At 36.6% G+C, this 21,813-nt stretch overlaps 1 long non-coding RNA gene across 1 annotated transcript in view; it reads left to right on the forward strand.

Moving 5' to 3' along the window:
- The window catches only part of LINC00558 (long intergenic non-protein coding RNA 558), a 60,701-nt gene extending 39,666 nt beyond the window's left edge, over nucleotides 1–21,035 (forward strand). Inside the window, exons 5-6 of the long non-coding RNA NR_047488.1 lie at nucleotides 15,381–15,443; nucleotides 18,368–21,035. This is a non-coding gene — a long non-coding RNA (long intergenic non-protein coding RNA 558). The remainder of the gene's footprint in view (nucleotides 1–15,380; nucleotides 15,444–18,367) is intronic.
- Nucleotides 21,036–21,813: the final 778 nt, after the last annotated feature.

Genomic DNA, 21,813 nt, shown 5'->3' on the forward strand with positions numbered 1-21,813 from the left:
ATTAAGAACTGGAATGGAATATTGGATTTCAGAAGATCATTGGCTACCTTGACCATAGCTTTTTTCAGTTATTTGGAGTGATTTCAAAGCCTAATTGTAGTGAGCTTAAAAGAAATTGGGAAGCAAGAAGTTAGAAAGAGGAAAAACTTGACAAGTACTTCAAGAAATTTTACTATTAAGAAAATGAGTAAAATGGGGTTATGTATAAAGGAATAACGGAGTCATGATTGAGGTGCTTTATTTTTTCCTTTACATGTAGGATTTTTCTTGTCACTTTGCAAGCCTGGGACTTCCCAGCCAGCGACACCCTACCTGGGCCCTCATCGGCCACACTGGTGTTCCCCAGCTCACCTGTTATAGCTTGTACCCATGTTCAGTGGTTCTGGAGCTCTTGTGCCATGCCCAAGAAGAATGAGGATATGATGGACATTGAAGTGTGAAGAGGACAGAGAATAACTTTATTGAGCAATGAAACAGCTTTCAGCAGAGAGGCATGTGGGGTTGGTCTGCCTACCGGAAGGCAGGAATGCCCTCTTTGTTGCTGGGTGGGGGCCTTTGGACTCAGAATGGAGAGTGTGTGTTGATTTATTTTTGAGTACGCCAAAAAGGTTACAGTGAAGACAACTCTTAAAACGTGGGCACAGCAGTGTAGAAAGTCAATTAGGAAAGGGTAGGTATATGAGAAATAGGGGAAGGCTGGGGACTAATCAGAGAAAACATGTCAAATGGAGAAACAGATTCTCAATCCAGTCTAAGGATTTAACTTGTAGCTTGGCCTTTCAGGCTTTAAACTGTCCTTGGCTTGGAGGTGGAGTTTCACTGGGGACCCTTCCCCATCCGCCTAAGCATTTGGCTGCCTCCTGTCGCTCTCACGTTTTCAAATGAGATAAAAGCTTTCATGTTCTTAAGTTGATGGAAATGATTCTGTACAGAGAGAAAAATGTTGCTGTAAGCATGAGAGGTAATTGCAAAGACATTGAATGAAGCAAGTGAAGGAAGGTAGTGGACAAAGGGAGGGAGCTGCCCTTAGGCAGAGCATAAATAACACTTTAAAGGAAATGAATTAACTTTGAATCTTTAATCTTTTTTCAGCAAAAATATCACTTTTTAACTCAGCATTTGCAGATCAATATTCTTTTTTTTTTTTTCTTTAGCAAAGTTAATTCCAGCATAGTCCCCTGTTCTGAAACATTTTGGAGAAAACCACCTCCAATCAGGTCAACAAGCTTTGCTTTCTGATTTCTAAACACGACTGTTTTAACCCTGGTAACACTTTATAATTAGTAAAGCACACTGACTGGATTTCTTTTAATTACTATAATCCTACTACCATCCTCATGGTGCTGGGATGGCCAGATGTTCATCTTATATTTCACAGTAATTGTGTAACTAAATCTCTAAAGAATCTTTATTTTTCCATGGAAAGTAGTTCTTTTCATGGTAAGCTATAAAATTTCAAGTGGAAACTACGTATTTCTTCTCTGAATGCTGTTTAATTTTTCCAACAGCAATACTCAGCTAATGTATTTATTTCAAACTATAACTTTTCTTTTTACTCTAAATACGAAAAAGTTGCTTTTTCTTACAAAGAAAAAAAATAAAAGTCAATGATAGTACAGACCTGTGATTGTCCTCAGTTATATGTTAATGTGTGTGTGTGTGCATGTGTTATAATCATGAATAAAACAGGGCAGGATCTAACAACCTCTTCCAGTTAGCATGTTAATTTATCATTTTAAAGAAACCTTTTTTTCTGAAATACAATAGTTGACATGAATCCCATAAGTTTCATTACCTTTTATCTTGCCCTTTTTTGAAAAACAGCTTGCACATCTCCAGCATTGCATAAAATACCCATTTGTAATTATGCTTAACCTTTCCAAAGCCTTTGGGCATAGTCTGCTCATTAATCTTTAACCTGACAAGCCTTGGGGGTTGTAAAATTGGTACCTCTATGTATTAGAGACAGAGACTAGAGACTAGAGGTACAAAAGGGGTAATTAAGAGGAGGTAAGAAAAGAAATACAACAAAACTAGAGAGACATGACTATATTACGGTAGATGTCAACTAACAGCAGGGACAAAAGAATGCAAATCATTACAGACAGAGTTCAGGAAATAAATGAAGGTATACATTTTTAGAAAAAAAGTTAACCATACCCTGTTGTACTCAAGAAAAAATAACTTGCACCAAATTCATCTAAAATAAAGATTTACAAATATTATCATACAAAATATGGCAAGGACTCCTCTTGTAGTTTCAACCAAACAAGAGGGCCAATGAGAAAGTACAATCCTATTGATTGTCTTGCAGTGGGGAGAACAGGAACTATTCAGAAGACCACAGGAAGCATATAGGATTCCGAAGTTCAGCGATTATTAGCTGTGGGGAGCTGGAGAAGGTAGGTCTCATTGGAATGGCGAGAGTTGAGCAACATATTAAAGGAAATAATGAATTTAGCCATGCAGATGTTTGGAAGAAGAGTGCTCAAGGTAGAGTGAATAGACAGTACAAGTATCCTAAGGCCAGGCTGTGCTGTCCTGTTTGAGGAACATTTACAAAGCCAGTGTGGCTAGAGCAGATTGGGTGAGACGGGAGTTTTGTAGAGATGAGCAAAGTGATGTAATGGGGTCAGAACATGTAAGGCACTGCAGGCCATTGTGATGACCTTGTCTTTGCCCCAAATAAAATGGGGTATTATTTTGGGGTTTTGAGCAGCAGCATGAGACAATCTGACTTATCTTTAAAGAAAACTGTTAGCATTGTTTTTAAGAGACAGGTTCTCACTCTGTCACTCACCCTAATCCTCAAACTCTTGACTTCAAGCATTCCTCCTGCCTCAGCCACCAGAATTGCTGGGATAGCAAGTGCAAGGCATTATGCCTGGCTTCTTGTTTTTTAGAATAGAATTACAAGAAGGAAAAAGTAAAAGCAGGGAACAAGTTTGGAGACTATCTCAATCATATATGCATTGAAGAAGCTGAATAATTATTTTCCAAAATTTTCCTCAGTTTTTCTGGACATGCAGATTAACTGCAAGGGACACTGAGAAATGTTACCATGAAACAGGAAGAAAAGTAACATACCAAGGTTTTGTATGGTCCATATATATGCAATTAATCACTTTCTTCTTCAGGTGCCAATTGAATGGAGAGGATGCCAAGTTAGAACTGCCAGATACAAGGAACGTGGATTTTTTTTTCCATTTATTTATTTTTTTTTCTTTTGAGATGGAGTCTCACTCCGTCACCAGGCTGGAGTGCAGTGGTGCAATCCTGGCTCACTGCAACCTCCGCCTCCCGAGTTCAAGTGATTCTCCTGCCTCAGCCTCCCCCACCCCTCCCCACCCTTGGAGTAGCTAGGACTACAGGCACGTGGGCTAATTTTTGTATTTTTAGTAGAGACAGGGTTTCACCATGTTGGCCAGGATTCTCTCTATCTCTTAACCTCGTGATCCACCCGCCTTGCCTCCGAAAGTGCTGGGATTACAGGTGGGAGCCACCACACCCGGCCATGGATTTCTTGATGACCGTGTGGAGCTGATAATTTCACTTCCTCAAACTTGCCCTACTACCTATTTAAATTAAGATAAGTAAGAAAAAAAATGAGTAGAAAACAAACATTGAATTTATCCACTCAAATTTGGGCTTTATCTATTACAGTAGTTAGTATTACTCTAATGCATTGAAGTGGAGTTCTGCTAAATACATAGAATTGGTTTAGCAATTAGGAGACAGATGGCACAGAGACTGATATCAGAGACTGAGAAGCTTATGGTTCATGTTATGCAGTTATAAAATATTTGGCAAAACTCTCATGAGATACTTGCAAGGTAAACTAAATACCTCCAAGTCTGTAGCCCTGGAAATGATTAGATGGAAATGATTAGAAATAATTAGAAAAACCAAAGTGTTAGGTTATGTTGGCTATGATTGGCTCCTTTTTGCCAGTGTACTTAAAGAGATAAGCACAAGCAAGAATTGGGTAGTTTCAGGAAGAAATAGGGGTGAGAGTACCCAGGGGATTTCAGATATCAAAGGCCTGACAGGGGTGGCAAAGCTGTTGCTCTGAAGTTAAAAGAGTGAGAGATAAGATTAGAAGCAGCTTTGAGAGACAAACACCCACTAAGATTTCTCAGTTGAACCAAGATCCAAACTTGCAGCAAAGATCAGATAAAAGATGTTATCATCCTATCAATGCCAATTGTTCTAGATGATTTCAAGGTCTCTGACACTGAGTTGAGAAAGTAGAAGGCATGATGGGGAGGGGAGTGATTAAGAACAAAGAAATAAAATAGAATTTAGAACTATGTCTGGCAAAGAACTTTGGGTGGTTACTAGTACGTGAAACTGATAGGAATTAAATAGATAAGAATGTGGGCTTTTTTTGTTTGTTTTTTTTTATTTCTTTTTAGAGAGAGTCACACTCTGTTGCCCAGGCTGGAGTGCAGTAGTGTGATCCAGGCTTACTGCAGCCTCAACCTACTAGGCTCAAGTGATCCTTCTGCCTCAGTCTCCAGAGTAGCTGGGACTTACAAGTGTGTGCTACCATGCCTGACTAAGAAAACGTTGTAGAGATGGGGTCTCATACTATGTTGTCCAAGCTGGTCTCAATCAAACTCCTGGCCTTAGGAAATCTTCCCACTTCTGCCTCCCAAAGTGCTGAGATTGCAGGCGTGAGCAACTGTGCCTAGCATGGTTTGTTTTTTGAGGTACCATGTTGCTAAAGAAACTATAAACCTGGACTAAAAGTGTCTTGAAACCTTTGAATTTTTTTAATGACATCTAAACTTTCCCAGAAAGGAAATATTAAAATATCTATTTATATTCATTTTTCATATAAATATGAAATAAAACTTTAATACTATTTAATGTTAATCCTAGTATCCTCAAAAGTTCTTAGACAACCAGTCAACTGTCCCACATAGTACCTGAGGGATCTTGTTGGAAGTGGAGAGGTTTTACAATGAAGAGTGATTGACATCATTACACTTATTTATTCACTCATTGTATTGCTACCCATTGAAATTTACATGTGACCATATGAGTGGATTTATAAATTATATTTCATTTTAATAAATTCATCTTACAAATGTTCCTGCAAAGAAAATTTCCAATTGAAATGATATTAATCATACAAGCATAAGAAACCAATGAGAAAATGGCAGAAATACTTTAGTTTTAGTATGATTTCTTTGTAAGTCGTATTTCAAGATAAATGAAATAATTTTCTCAGAGCTGATAACTGGCCTAAATTTTGAAATTTAAAATGATCAAGAATGCTTTTGAAAACATGAATTTATATTCACTATTGTATGACCCTTGCCTAATGTGCATATTAAACATTGAGATATTAGCTAATCATAGTAGTATATGCATGTAATTATGAATTTGTATATTATTTATAATGAAGAAAGAACAAACATTTTGGAAATTACAACTCGAAATAGCATGTAGAATGTTCATTTTTATTGTTCTGGTGTTTTTGTCCAACTCATGAAACCACCAGTTAATGTTTATTAGTGAAGATTTCATAGTAGAAATACACCCAAAATCAATGATCTCATAACCACCAAATAAAAATTTCCTTTTGGCCAAGTCATAAAATTTCCTGCAAATAACCCCTAAGTTAGTGCAATATCAGAAGTACTCCCAAAATATATATTGGCTGAAATGGAGTAAAGCTGATTTCTTGTTTATGTGTTTGTCCTGGGCAGGAGGCTGCATCTTTTCCATACATTCATTCAGGACTCCCCACTGAAGGAAGTTCTGTCTTGTTCAACAGTGGTGCTAAGGTTGCTTCTACAGTCCTTCCTATGGAAACTTGCAAGGAGGAAGTGCCTCAATTAGTGGATGTAGAAAAACTGTAGACCTTGAAGTGGCACATATGTCCACTCACATCCCATTGATTAGAATGCAGCTCATGTGACTACACACTATTGCAAAGGAGTTAAGGAATATAGCCTAGGCGAGAGGCCAGGAATAAAACGAAATGAGTTCTGGTTAATAGTTGGCACCCTTCATCATAAAATCTATTTTTGGCTTGTATAGATGAATATAATAAAAATTAATCACTGAGTATAGGAAGCTGGACCTGATCAAAAGGAGGAGCTACTGTGTAGATCAGGTATTTCATGTGATGGATTGTATGCCTTCATTCAAGCATAAAGAGACTGTTAGAAACTCAAATCTCAAAGATATAACTTGTCTATACCAAGTCCATTGAAAAAATCCAGAAGAACCAAGGTATTCAAATATACAAACATATAGCTATTGCTTTCATTTATCCTCAGAGATAAGCTTGCAACTTCCAGTAAGTTATAAAGGGAAAGAATTTAATCTTGTAATTCCAACCACATCACTAAGTTTGGATTATCTTGCAGTGTAGAGAAACTGTTTTGAATTTCTCTAGCACTATGTATACAGGATCTATGTCTTAAAACAATCTCTCACAGTTAACGGGACCAGGTAAAGAACGTTTAACACACCTTGCAGTCAACAAAGGTGTTTCATACACACTGAAGATCTTTTGAATAATTTGCTTTCTTAGACAATGGCAAGAGATAAAAAAAATTCTAGAGTAATGCATATTACAACTTGCTTTTTCTCAAAGTTGACAACTATAGATTCAATTTGAATGAAATGTTTTAAAATGGTAGCATCATTGACTATGTGACAAAGATTTTGCTAAGTTATAGCTTTGAAGAAGTACAATGTGGAACGTGAAAGTGTTCAAATCTCAACATTCAATTTTTCTATCACTTTGAACACCTAGTAACCGGTGTCTAAAAATGCTAACAAATTTGAAACATCAAGGTCAAGCCTGCATGATCTTTCTTGTACTTTTCTGTTATAAAAATGACCCCATCTATTATGAGAGAAAAAAAAATTCTCATTGAGAAAAAGAACTCAGGAAATAAAAGACACCTTGAGATAGTCTTAGTTATTAACTACCATAGAGATATCTCCAATCACGAGTGTATATAAAAATTCCAGCGTCATATTTTTTATTTCCTTGTAACAAGTTCAGCCTCTTAACACATTGTATAAATGCCGGTTTATCAGGAGACATGTAAAATGCACATATGTAGACATATATAAATAAGGACCTTCTAAATTCTTCAGTGTTTCAGATTTTAAAAGTACTTGAAAATATAAGAAATAAATTTTTGTGATGTAACTAAGAAATTTTAAAACTGTGTAACATAACCACTAAATATAAATAAAACTATTCCTATGAAGAGATCTAAAAGAAGCAATACTCTAAAGAAATTTCATTTAGGATTTTTTTTCCTAGTTCACCTGTATTTCCTATCCTCTTTTTGAATAACAATATGTTAAAGTTTATGTTTTCTATAAGTGCCAGCATTCTTTTGTCACTGAATTGTAATGTTTTGGTTTATGGACAGAACAACTTGTCTTTGGTCAGTCAGGATGTTTTATTGTTTATGGCATAGATGATCTGTAATGAGTACTAGTTTATCCTCTAGTTCTGTAATTTAGAGCAAATAATTTACCTTCATTATCTTTATTTCCATATATTAACTAAGAATAACAATAACAAACTTAGAGTAATATTGCCAATGTGGAACAATAATTAGTTTGCTAGGGCTCCCATAACAAAATACCACAGACTGGGTGACTTAAACAGAAATATATTTTTTCACAATTCCAGTGCCTAGAAGTCCATGATCAAGATGCTGGCTGGTTGATTTCTCCTGAGGCCTCTTTTCTTGGCTTGCAGATGGCCACCTTCTTGCTGTGTCTTTACATGGTCTTTCCTACGTTGCATATCCCTGTCATCTCTCTCCTTTTGACACCAGTCCTGTTGAATTAGGGCTGTGCCCTTATGGCTTTATTTAACCTCAATTGCCCTTTTAAAGGCTGTATCTTCAAATACACATTACAGATTAAGGAGTCAACATGTGAAGTTCAGTAGAACACAATTTAATCCATAACGGACAATTTAATGCCTTATAACTTTTTTGTGAATTATAAAGCAAATTATTTTGTTAGTTTTGTTTCTGTTTAACACAGCTAGGTTGTTCTGATATTGTCAATCAAATTGAATTAATTCTAAAACAGTTATTTATCCACAGCAGCACGTGGATTGAAATGGGTGGTAATAACCAAAACCACATACACTATCTAGTGATCCTTGTTTCTGGCAGTCATTCTCATTTGGCAACATTTTTAATGAGATATGTCTATGTCAGTAGTCAGTAAACAACCATTTATTTGGATATACCCTGAGAGCCAAAAGGTAGCTTCCTAAATGAAATGGTGGCTTTTCTGTACAATATTTAAAACTAGAAATGCTTGCTTTTAGCCCTGAAGCCAAACACATGTTTGCTTAGTAAGTGTGAGAAATCCTGCTAACCATGCCCAGAGACCAGCCTGTATGCACAATAAACTTATAAATTTTCATTTATTTTTATTATGGCCTCTTAGATGGTCTTGTAGAAAAGGTTCAAAATTAGTTTTGTCTTAAAGACAAAAATCAAACTCAGTTAAGCTGGGCTTATGAAAGCACTAACACTATACTTGCTTGTTATAATCTGCCTTATATGGAAGACAGGCAACAATTTTTAGCTTGCTTTGTACTACATTCAGCCTAGCAGCTTGTGCAATTAAGCATATGCGAAGTGTCTAGAATGATGAAGGTGATAATGATCTGTCATGATTATATATTTCCACTGACCTCTGAGCCTCCCTTAAAATGGCCTTTGTGAATATCCATTAATTCCATATGACTCAGAAAATTTTGTCTCCTTCACTCCATTGGGTATATTGTTTCCATTAAAAGTCACATATGTTTATTGTTCTGTTTATAGGTTAAAATCATTTTTTATTTCATCGCTTTGTCACATCACACATATCAATATATAATATCTGCTTTCATTTATGAAAATTGAATGTTCATCTCACTGGGACATCACTATCAAACTCTGTATGCCTCATTCTTTTTACATAAAATGTGCACAGTCACTGTGGATAATTTAATATAAAGTACACACATGCCATCTTGTAAGATGTTAAATCATCTCAAAATTAAGGACAATATACCAACAAACTCAACTGAAGATGGAGCTGAACATTAGACAACGAAGATTTTGATATGTAAAGGGATGCTTATTGACCAAATCTTCCTGCCTTTATTTTCAATTGTACTGTACTAACTGAAAAATGCACTTTTTCTTCATAGTACTTTTCACAAATGTAGTTAGTCGTATTATTTATTTAGAAGCTTTCTTCTGCACTCAATTACATGGTCCAAAATGGGAAGAATTTGTCTTGTTCATTTTTTTTTAATCCCAAGTACTTGCCATAGTGTCTGACCCATATTAGGTGCTCAGTAACTATATACTGAATAAGTGAATGAATTATTAGATGAACTATAGAACACAGATTCCATGATTCATATTTAAAATATAATTCTAACTTCTTATTCCAGGTCCAGTGGTTCTCAGCTGTAGGGTGATTTTGTTCCTCAAGGCAAATTTGGCAATACATGGAGACAGTTTTAGTTGTCAAAACTAGGGGCACGTGCTGCTTGCATATAGTGGCTAGAAATTCTGCTAAGCACCCTGCAGTGCCCAGGGTCAGCCACCCACAACAAAGACTTTCTGACCCAATAGCCCAGGTTAAGAAACACCTGATAACCCAATTGGTCAGGCTATTCCTTCAACCATATCCCTAGCCTATTTCCCTTTCATTTACTAAACTCCAGCTATCCACATGGTGTTCTTCTTGGACATTTTTTTTCCTCCTCATCCTTTATGTGGCTAATTACACTCATTTTTGGGGTTTCAGTTTAGCTCTATCAACCATGATGCTAATTTCTATCCTGAATTCTCATGTTTATTTCCCACAATATTAAAATCTATAATTGTATATGTATATATATATATATAATTTTTGCATGTTCTATTAGACTCTATACTCAGGAGGATCTGGAGTCTGCTTAGCCTAATTGTAGCAAATAAATGCTCAAAAATTTAAGAAACAAAAAAAATCAGTGTTGTTGGATATAGTGATTTGTATATGGGAGACTTGTGCAAGGTGATGTGAGATAAATAGGTAGGGCTCTTTAGATCATAGTATATTATTTGGAACTTATCCTAAGTGCAGTAAGGAAATAAATTATTTCCAAAGAGAAGTCAAAAGATTTGATTTTTTTTTAAGATCATTCTGGCAACTATGGAGAAATTGAATTAGAATGAGAAAACTTAGAAGCAGGATAACTAGTGTAGAAGCTGTAACAGTAGTCTATATGGTGATGGTGGCTTGGATCATTAATGCTAAAAGTGAATATAGCAAGAACTGCATGAATTTCAGGTACATTAGGAAGTAAAAAGATGCTGATGAATTAGATGTGGATGAGAAAGACATAGAATTATCAAGGATTATTTCTTAGATTTTAATGTAAGCAAAAGGTAGGAATCAATTCTAGGTCCTGACTTGGAGGAGACTAAAGTAGAAAGAGGTTTTAAAAAAATAATCGACAGTATCATCTTGGCCATATTATGTTTGAGATGCTTTTATAACAATGAAGAGGAATATCTGAATATTGGATACCTGAAGTTTAAAAACGAAAAAGTATTTGGATATGTAAATTTGGACTTTATCAGCATATAAATACATGCTATTCAAAACTTACACCTACATTAGATTCTTTACAGAGTCAGTGAAGCTACAGAAATGTCATGAACCAGCATTGAAACCTGTGACACATTAACATTTAGAAGAAGAGTGGAATAAGAGCTGCAAATATCAGAGCCTGAAAGAGTGGCCAGTTAAGAGAACCAAAATTCATGGAAATCCACAAAGGAGAATATTTCCAGGACAGAGTAGCTACCTGGGTTGAATGCACTCTAAGGTTGAGTAAGATGAGCCTAAAGCAGGATCCTTCATATTGCAAAAACTGGTATGACTTAATATTTATGGAATTATGCTAACAAATGGGGGTAAAGGCCAAATGGAAGTAGTTTAACATTGTAAATGGTTAATCATGGTAGTTACTTGAGTGAAAATAGACTTTCTAAATATCTCTTTTGAGAATTTTGATGTAGGACAGTAGCTATAGAGAGGAATGTGATGTCCAGTGAGGGTTTCATGGAAGATTCAGGAAAATGTTTGAATGCTGATGGAAATATATCATAGGGGAAGGAAACTTAAAGTGCAAGAGAGAAAGAAGGTAGCAGAATATTCTAGTTATAAATATTTTGTCTCTCAATTTCAAACCTATTCTTCTCTGTTCTGCTCTGTGATGGAGGATAAGCACACAGCAAACTATACTTCTCATCTGCCTGCTGGTTTCCTGCCAGTTTCTACAAGGTGAAGGCTTCAGAGGGAGCCTAGAAGTAGAAAAGAAGAAATAAGAAATTTTCTTCTTTGTGTTTGCTTGTTACTTCCTTCAATGTCATTCCAGCATCCCCTGGTTCCAATTTCTAGCTTCTTGCCATACCCTGAGAACCAACCCCACTGCAACCCTCAGAGGTAGAAACTTTTCTTGGAGCTCAACAGCTGGGAAGTGTCCCCTCCTCAGTGAGCCAGTTTTCAGCTTCCCAAGGCTTTTCTTCCAGGTTCTAATAACCTCAACCTCTTTCTTTTGTTCTTCAACTCTAGAGACGTTGCCTCCTATCATCTTTACTTGTGTATTTACTTTTGGCTCCTCAGTCCCTCCAACACCTATGTAACTGATTCACTAAAAGAAATAAATTCTGTCTGTTGAAGTAGAGTAGTTTTGAATTTTCTGCAGGACAGGTTTTGTTTAGGAATAAGGATTTTGTCACAATTTGGTCAGGTGAGAAAATGGCTATAGCTGCAGGATGGCATACACGCAGCAAGGTCATCAGCTGAAAGTGAGAAAGAGGAAGATAGGGGAGGGACATTCAGAAATTTGAAAGGAGAGAAGGCTCAGGTTGAAAGACATTGGGGAAAACTCTAGAAGGCTGCCAGCCAGTAGTCTGTACCTCTAGGCTTGGAATAATTTTTTTTTTTTTAATAAAGAAACTGATCCACTCTTTGAGACTGTTTCCTTTGGGCTGTTCCTCAGTCCACAGTATGTTGGGGTCAAGCCATGAAGGGCCAGGCCATGAATAACTATACTAAGGAATTTTAAATATATACTGGAAGCCCTAAGCCAGCCACATGATACACACATGACCATTCCCAAATTTTGCTCATAGTTCATTGCACCATGTCCTAATAGGCTTTTATAATGCAGTACAGTAAGTCCTTACTTAATGCCATCAATAGGTTCTTGGAAACTGAAACTTTAAGTGAAACAGTATACTGCAGGTCCTTGAATAATTGTTTAGTTCACTGTTTGGTTACAATGGGAATAAGAAAAAAAAACTGATTCCATTATATGCTGTTTTGCTTAAAGTCACAATTTCACAGAACCAATTATTGATGTTAAGTGAGGTCTTACTCTGTATTAGGCATCCACAAACAAAATCAATCTTCATTGGCATATATATTAGCCAGGTCATGCTGCAATAGCAAAATCCCATAGGTTGGATGACTTAAAGAGAAACATTTTCTCACAGTCTGGAGGCTAAGATGCCGGGGGATTTTATTTCTGGTGAGGGCTCTCTTCCTGACTTGCAGACAGCTGCCTTCTTATTGTGGCCTCATATGACCTTTCCTTGGGTTTGGGTGGGAGAAGGGGAACAGAGAGACTGAGCACTCTGTTGCCTCTTTTAAAGACACTGATCCTGTAGAATCAGGGTCCTGCCTTTATTACCTCATTTAACCTTAATTATTTCCTTAGTGGTTCTATCCCCAAGTATAGAAACACTAGGGTTTAAGATTTCAACATATGAATTCAGGGGTGACACATTCAGCCCATAACATGTAAGTTGGAAATTATTTACCATTTCTTAAATAGGCAATTTTAAACTGAGAGGTGACTTACTATAGTATGGAACATGAATTAGATGAAAGGTTAAAATAGAAACAAACTACTTAGAAGGCAATAGTCAACAGCAACAATTATGAAAGTCCTGAATTAAGGTATCATAAAGAAGAAAACACATTGATTTTCCCAAACTTTGATTTTTTTAAATTATTATTATTTTTTGTTGTTGTTGTTGAGACAGGGTCTCACATTGTCATCCAGGCTGGAGTGCAGTGGTATGATCATGGCTCACTGCAGCCTTGACCTCCAAGGCTCAAGCGATTCTCCTGACTGAGCCTTCCAAGCGCTGGAATTACAGATGTGAACCACCACACCCGGCCACTTTTTTTTTTTTTTTTTTTTTTTTTTGAGACAGAGTCTTGCTCTGTCACCCTGGCTGGAGTGCAGTGGTGCGATCTCGGCTCACTGTAAGCTCCACCTCCCGAGTTCATGCCATTCTTCTGCCTCAGCCTCCCGAATAGCTGGGACTACAGGTGCCCACCACCACGCCCAGCTAATTTTTTGTATTTTTAGTAGAGACGGTGTTTCACCGTGTTAGCCAGGATGGCTTCGATTTCCTGACCTCGTGATCCGCCCACCTTGGCCTCCCAAAGTGCTGGGATTACAGGCGTGAGCCACCGCGCCCAGCCGCCAATTCATTTTATAATTCATCACTGACTATACTTAGAAGGAAATAAACCATAAAGTAACATGTCTAGTTTGTACTTCTATTTGTTTAATTTTTTAGAAACAGGATCCCTTTATGTTGCTCAGGAACTCCTGGGCTCAAGCTATCCTCTTGCCTCAGCCTCAGGAGTAGCTGAGACTAAAGATGCCACCATACCCAGCAGTAAGTCCAGTTTTTGAAGTGGCATCCTTGCAGAAAGGAATAAATGAAGAGCTAGTCCTATTCTAGTGGATAGGAATAGAAATTGAATTTCTATGAAAGTTTAGAGGAGTAATATGTAGCATTTCCCAAACTTTTTGGACAAGGGAATCTTTTGTTTTTGTCCATGTCATAAAACTAGTATTTCATGGAACTGCAACTTTGCAAAATGTTGGTTTAGAGGAAGTCTGACAGAATATGTCCTCATATAATGGTCTTGATGTATAAATTTTACTCAAGCCCAAGGATGAAGTCTTCAGGAAATAAAATCTTATTAATGAAATATATATGGCACAGAAATGGCAACAAAATTCCCATTTATTGGCAGTAGGAACTCAGTCACATATGCTAAAATGTAGCATTTCAGGGCAGTCATTCTCTGCCATGTGTGTGGCTTGAAGCTACATATACTATAAAAGAATCTCATTTTTTTATGGGAACCACTGTCACAGGGGCCATGTAAATTGCTTATTATAGTAATTTATAAATAGTTTTGAGCACTATCTAAATGCCTGGCATTTCTCTAATTGTGTTGTATCTGCTTAATTCTCCCCCAAAATTCTATGAGGTAGCCATTAGTATTAGGCCCATTTTACAGAACTGGAAACAGTCACAAGGAGGTAAGTAACTTATACAAGTCACACAGGTAGTAAGTGGTAGAGCCAGGTTATGAGTACAGATAACTGTCTTCAGAGGCAACATAACTTCTGTAATAAACTGATTTTTAGTATTCATCCCATTCTCTTGGAAGGAAAGAAACATGAAGCTGCAAATCTACATAGAGATGAGGGAATTGGACTAAGGTAGGTTGAATGTATCATGGGTTTAATAGCCTCTGAACACCTTCGCTTCTCTCCCTGGGAAGCAAAAGGTATGGGAACAGCCCTTTTCCTCTGATATTGTTACACAATTCCTTAGAAATATATGCCCCTGCTAAATAAAATGAAACCTTTAGATATATTGATGAATTCAAACACATTTTGGTTTAGTGAGAATCATTTAATCTTATTGTGATTTCTAGATTTGTATCTTAAAGATTAATGCTCAGAAGTTCATTATCTCTCTGTATTCAATATTTTTGATATCCTACCATTGAAACACTTAAGTACTTGATATAGAACTCCTATGTTTTCAGGTATGCTCAAATTCTATTACTTTCATGAAGTACTTGTCATTACCAGCCCATTTAGGTTTATTCTTTAACAACTTTGTCTTTATAGTAAGTTTCACATGTTTATCATATAGCTTGGTCTTCTAATAGGAAACATCTTAAAAACTGATATCCTTTCACAATTCTGTGAAATCTCCTAAGTCACCTACATAATTAACATGAGTTTATAGAGTAATCCACCTTGGAGATTATTCATTAATAGATTGAAAATGCTCTATCAAAAAATGTTATTTTTCATGCTACTATTATACATATCTTGATTTGAGTCAAATTTTAATAAACAAATATATAATGAATTATTCTTAAATTTGCATATATTCACTGAATATTTACCTAGATATCATTCCTTAAAGATTATGTAAATTTTGATAATTTATATTAGAATCAGAAGTAAGCATATTTTAATTTCTTATCCCTAGGGAAGTGAGTTTAACAATTCTGAAGAAGTATCATTTGCAAGCGTCTGGGGAAAAAATGATCAGGTTAGTGTAGATGGAATTTGCCGTTTTAAATTCCGTAATTCCATAGAGATATACAGAAGGCAAAGATATGGTTTATATTGAAATCACATTAGATTTAGATAGTGTTGGTTTCTACACCTTCTCCAGGCTGGAGCATAACCTCTACATATTTATGTTATCAAACTCTTCAGTGCTGTTCTTGTCAGGGGCTGATGTGTTACTTTGAAATTCATCTGGAATTCCTGCAACCAATCTTCTCTCTATCCCCACTCCAGGTGCTTCTGTGTTTCAATGTGACATTTTCCTATCCAAATAGATCAGTTGTTTATAAAGGAAAAATTACCTGTGTCTGATATTTCTAGTTGAGTTAATAAACATTTTATTGCCACATACCCTCTGTATCTTTAAAATGCAGTCACCACTTTAATTTCTGAGAGGAAGGGAAAGTCATAGTGCCTCTTTGTCGTAACACATGTGTACCTGATTTTTATTTGGAAATATATTTGCAATGTTTTAAAAGTCCCAGCATCACAATTTCTGAAGTGAAGTACGCATAAAATTTCCTTAAACAGAACTTACAAATGCATCATATTTATACTTGTTATTCTGAGGATATATATGTGAAACTACACGTGCTCATGTGTGCATTTACACACACACAAGGAAGTTCATACATACAGAGATCACTTATCAGCTAGTTTATGTTATTTAAAACCAAATCCTAGCTATTTTAACAAATTGCCAAGAAAAGAGCAAATATACATCATTTTCATTGTTGTTGTTGTTATCCTAGGGCTTAATAGAAATGGCAAGACTTCCTGCCCTACACTTCTCTGCTCTGTCTTCTTTCCTTTCACTTGTCCCTTTGTTAATTAATGGGCAAAGTTACCAAGTCTACAGGGCTTGTAGCTAATCAGGGAATTTCACTTATTGGTTTAGGTAAAAGCTTTCAGAATGTTAGTGCATCACCTGAGGTGAGCCTAGAAGCATACTTTTGGCAGAAAATACTTCCAAAGAGAATAGTCTGGAAAGAACTTAGCTGAAACTTGGAATTTACCTCTCTGGGCAGCTCATATATCCTCTTGTCTCTCCCTATTAAATTCATTCATTTTATATACTTATATTTGGTAAGATGAATAATGTTACAAAGGCCTGATTTTTAAAAATTTTATTTACATCTGCATGCTTAAACACTTATTTTCCTCTCCTTTAGTTTTACTCCTCATCCTCCCAAAACCAATTATATATATCTTTTTATATGTTTTATTCTCCCTTTTGATGCTTTCATTTGGCGAAGTATTACATTCCAGACAGAAGTTTCAAATGCCCTTTTCACTGGAAAACCTTTACCTTGGCAGATGTCTCCCTAACCTAAATATTTGCTCATGATCTCTCCAAATGTTCAAACAATGGTGGGCAAAGTAAAATACTTCTCTCAGCAGCAATATTAATATTTCTTTTGGCCATTTTGTTGAAGTTTATTGTAGCACCCATTTAGTAAGGCACCAAAGGCATGGTAGATTATAAATCCAGTTTGTGGCAAGCCTCATTTCACGTTTGCTTTAACTCCTCCTCTTTCTCCGAAGAAGGAGGAACGCTTAATATGAGCCCACAAATACTGCCACTCATTCAGTTAGCAGTTTGTTTTAAAAACTGCAGATTTTTGACTTTTCAGATTTTATGTGAGTTATGCCAGGGGCAGAAAAGTACCAGGGAAAAGCACTGCAGGGCCTGGTATATGGAGCTTACAGGATTCTGACACCTCTTTGGTTTTGCAACTCTTTTCTAAAAGCATTGAATTTTATCGTTTATACCATGGTGCACCTGTTGGTAATTCCCCCCACCTGGTTTTCTTCCCGTTGGGTTTACTGTTCAGATTTGCAGGTAAAACGCCATGATACTGAGGCTCTTGCAGATAGCTGAAAACACACCAAGCAGCACCCACCCACTGATCCCTTTGGTTTGAGCTTTTGAAGCAGTTTTGACTTTGGAAAGATAAGAAAGCCTCTATTCCACAGTTTTTTTGCTATTTTGCAATTCAAGTACATAACCAAACTTTCACTCTAAGGACACACAGGCAAGGTGTTGCTTGTGGATTTCAGGGGCAGCTGGCATTTTAATTTCAGGAAGGTACTTCAGATTTTGGAAAAAAAGAGTGATTTGGCTCTTGGGTACCTGCACAGATACAAGCTGCATTCCTCTCAGGGGACTTGCCCCACAGAGGGCCACAGTTAATGTAGTAAGCATGGCATTTTGAGATTGAGCTAAGCATTTCTAGAATTGTTTCCTGAAGAGACAAAGGAGGGGAAGAGAGAAAGCGGAGGAGTTTTGAGGTTGTGAAATAATTCCCAGAAACTTATCTGTAGTCTATAAAGGCTGCCTTGATGCAGTAGCAAGGACACTTAAGAGTTTTGTTGCTGAGTTTATTCACTAGTAAAGCTAGGGTAACACCACACATCTTGTGTGGCTGAGGAGAAATACAAATTAAAAAAAAAAAAGTATTAGTGCCTTGAACGCCCACTGAGGACATGCAGACAAATGTTGTCATGAACATGTACTTATGTGATTCCTCACCCTGGCCATAGTTGACTGGGCCTGTGGTAAGCCCCTGACCTAAGTAAGATCTTCCAACCGTATGCTCACGGCTCTTGCTGCCAAATATAAGACTGAGTAGGCTGTGCTATGGATTTGTCCAAATTAAAATTTCATATCTACTTTAGTTGGCTTTCAGAGCAACTTGCCAGCTTTGATCCTCTCTGGAATGTTGATAGTTGCCTAATTTCGCTGTTTCTTTGCCTCATCCATCTCACAATTCAATATCAGGTTTCATGTTCTTACTTGTTGATTTTGCTAAGAGCCCCATCTCCACTAACCATCTCTAGATGCTGAGAATTGCTGCCAACCAAAGCTCCAACTGCATGGTTATCTTTTCTAATTTGTTCTAGAATTTGAAGAAAGAACAAAACGCACAAAGTAACAATAAAAAAAATCAATGAAAGACAAAGCAACAGAAGAACAGAGTAATAAAGCACAGATCCACCGAACACAATTCACAGAGCAGGAGTGAGTTCGAGCAAGCGGCTCAAAAGCCTCCTTAATCAGGGTTTTTATTAAGCTGTAAAGAACCCGGCGACACCCTTCGGTTCCCGCCTGCCCCCCCGCCCCCCCACCCCGAGGCCTCCAATTGGCCACACCCATGAAGGACTGACCTGTGACCAATCAGAGGCTGAAGTGGAGACCCCGCCCGCAGTCAATCAGAGGCTGAAGTGGCTTGTTATCTTGGGAGCGAGGACGAGGCCTATTTGCTGCACTTGCTGCTCTCCTGCCTATACGACCTGGCTGCACCTGCTGTTCTTTTGCTTATGCGAACTGGCTTCACCTGCTGTTCTCTTGCTTCTGCGAACTGGCTGCACCTGCTGTTCTCCTGCTCATGCTTTAACCCCTGCTCACCCCAGTTCCCTATTCTCCTACCTAGTTTCCCCTTGAGAGAATTAATTTAAATTTAAACTCGGTAACCCTAACCAACTTTCAAGTGCTCAGTAGTCACATGTGGCTATGAGTACCATGTTGGGTAACAGAGATATAGAACATTACCATCTTTACAGAAACTTCTGTCAGACATCAGAGGTTAATCTCTGTTCATTTGCCTGGAAGGTTTTTCATATTACAGGTCAAAGAAAATTCTTTGAATCAGATAGATAGTATGCATATATTGTAAGTAACAGATAACATAATTCAAACAAGCTTATCAATTAAGGGGATATATTCACTCGTGAAACTGGAAGGCTTCAGAGTTGGTTTGATTCAACTGTATAATAGAATTGCTAAGAATATATTATTTGCTTGTCTTCCAGTTCTGATTTGTGTAAACTTTGGTCTAAGGGCTGTCTTTCAACATTGTCATAAGGTGGTTGCCTGTGATTCCCTGGAATGCATAATCCCACAAATCTAATTGAATTACCTATTTTCAGAAGATAAAGGAACTGTTGTTTCTCTAGATGTAAACACAAACTTTTCATAAAATTTATCAGCCCAAATTTCATCATTTATCAGTCTCCTAACAAATCTATGGTCAAAGAGTAAAGTCATGTGGCTTAGTTTAGGCATCAAACAAAGAATATGTGGATCCGTGAATGAAAATCATTGTAGTTAAAAAGAGAATGTTTGGTGAGAAGGCACACGTGATGTCTTTTAGCACTCTGTGGTAGTGGTTCTCAATAGAGAGTGATGTTTTACTACAGGAAACACTTGGCAATGTCTGGAAGCAGTTTTAATTGTAGTCACTGGAGGCATCTACAAGCATGTAGAGGGCAAAGGCTAGGGATTCTGCTAAACATCCTACAATGCACAGGACAGCACCCATCCCCACAACAAAGATTTACCTGAGCCAATGTAAATAGTGCTGGCATTAAGAAATCCTCTTCTATGTGATTGTATCTTATGAAGTCTAGCTTAAATTTAAAAGTGACTTTAACGACTCACATAACAGAAAAATACAGTTAAATCTGATTTCAGGCATGATCTAGAGATTTGCAAAATTCAAGAGAGTTGCAACGTTTTATATATTCCTCCTGCACTTCTTTGCAGTTGTGTTGGTTACTCTGTGATCTAGATTCTCAAGTTATCTCCTTCATGGTAGCACCAACAATAACTATACTTCCAGATTGTTACCTTTCTCAGAATCTGCCAGCAAACAGCTGCTTCATTCAAGTTAGCTAGAATTGTACCATGTATCAGTTGCTAAACTAATCTATGACAAATATTTGGTTACTCTTACCTAACTGTTACACAACTGAGAATAGTTGGTGGGTAATTTTGCAAAGGAAAACCTGAGCGCTCTGGATGAAGTTGGGGGAGTTTGATTCTAAACAGACAACTCATGAATGTCAACTACGGGGTTGGTGGAATACATTAGTAATTACCATAGCCAGCATCTAGCAGTCTATAATTGGTGTGTGACTCCAACAGTACTTAAAAGTATAATTGTTGAAATGGGATGGGCAATCAAATAGGTTCATTAAAAACTTGAAGCATAGGCTTGATCAGAAAACAGCTTTCTTTTCCACTGGTACCTTGTAATCTGATTGTTTTGAATTATCTACTGGCACATATTTGTATAATATTCTATTTCATGAAAAACAGATAACATGCATAGGACGTTTTTACTTTCTCATGTTAAATTTTCAAGTTCGTTTGTATCTAAACCTTTCATTAGTTTTACAACATTTCACTGGTTACTCTGAGTAATATAGCTTGCTCATATGGAAAACTGAGATAACAATAGTATTCCTTTCTATTGTTGCTTTTAGAAGCAGATAATTTAAAAACAGCGAGTACAACATTTAAGTAGTAACTGCATATTTGTAGATGTTCAATCAATATTAGCTACAATTGTTTCTACTCAATGGTACTGAGATATCTAAAGCCATAAATATTATTTGCATTTCATTGTTTTCAGCCTAAGAATTACTGAGCAATACTTCAATTATCCTTCTTTCTAAATCATATCTGTTGATCTCAGTTATGTCTTAATTTACACTGTATCTATATATTCCACTATCTCAAAATCTTCTTTCTTATTTCTATTGTTTAATAAAAGCTGTTTTCCTGGAATATTTTATTCATTTGAAAGATTGATTGATTGATATAATTACTTAGCCTATTTTCTATTATTTCCCAAAGTCATAGTCTTTTATTGAAAACAGAGATAAAACGTACTCCCACTAAACTCTTAAGACAGGAATGCATACCAGAGATGGGCTGTTATTTTTCTTTTTTTAATACATGAATAAACATAAAAAGATAATTGGGTGTCGGTTAAAAAGTTAGATACAATTTTCAATTTAACCTCTCCACTGTAAACAAACAAACAAAAAAACAAAGTTTGCATTTACATTAACATGATATATGGTTAGAAGTGGTTTCCATACCCTTTAAAAGAAAAAGAAAGGAACTAACACTTCTTGGGTACCTATCTAATATTATCTCAGGCAGATACTAGGTAATTAGTTAATAAAAGAGATGTTATCTTCATTTGGAGATATAAAATTAGTAGAATGGAATGTCAGAAAAGTTAAATAACTTGCTGAAAGTCATGCATATAGCAAGTGGTAAGACTAGGATTTGAATGTGAATCTGTTTGACTTCAAGTTTTGTGTTGTTTCTATTGCTCCCTGGCTGCCTTAGAGACATATCTACATGCACCACTGCAATTTTATTCTATCAGGATCTCAAAAGAATTTCTCGTGCCTTTGTGCCTATGCTCATCTTATTTTTTATTACATGGTATATAGGATGCTGCTTCTTCAGATAGTATCTATATCTCTTCCCTGGGAAGAGCTGTTTATCTATTGGCAAGGCAATAGAGTATGTTAAATTTCTTCTGCTTGTG

Source organism: Homo sapiens, chromosome 13 (assembly GCF_000001405.40).
Source record: "Homo sapiens chromosome 13, GRCh38.p14 Primary Assembly".
Classification (NCBI taxonomy): Eukaryota; Metazoa; Chordata; class Mammalia; order Primates; family Hominidae; genus Homo; species Homo sapiens.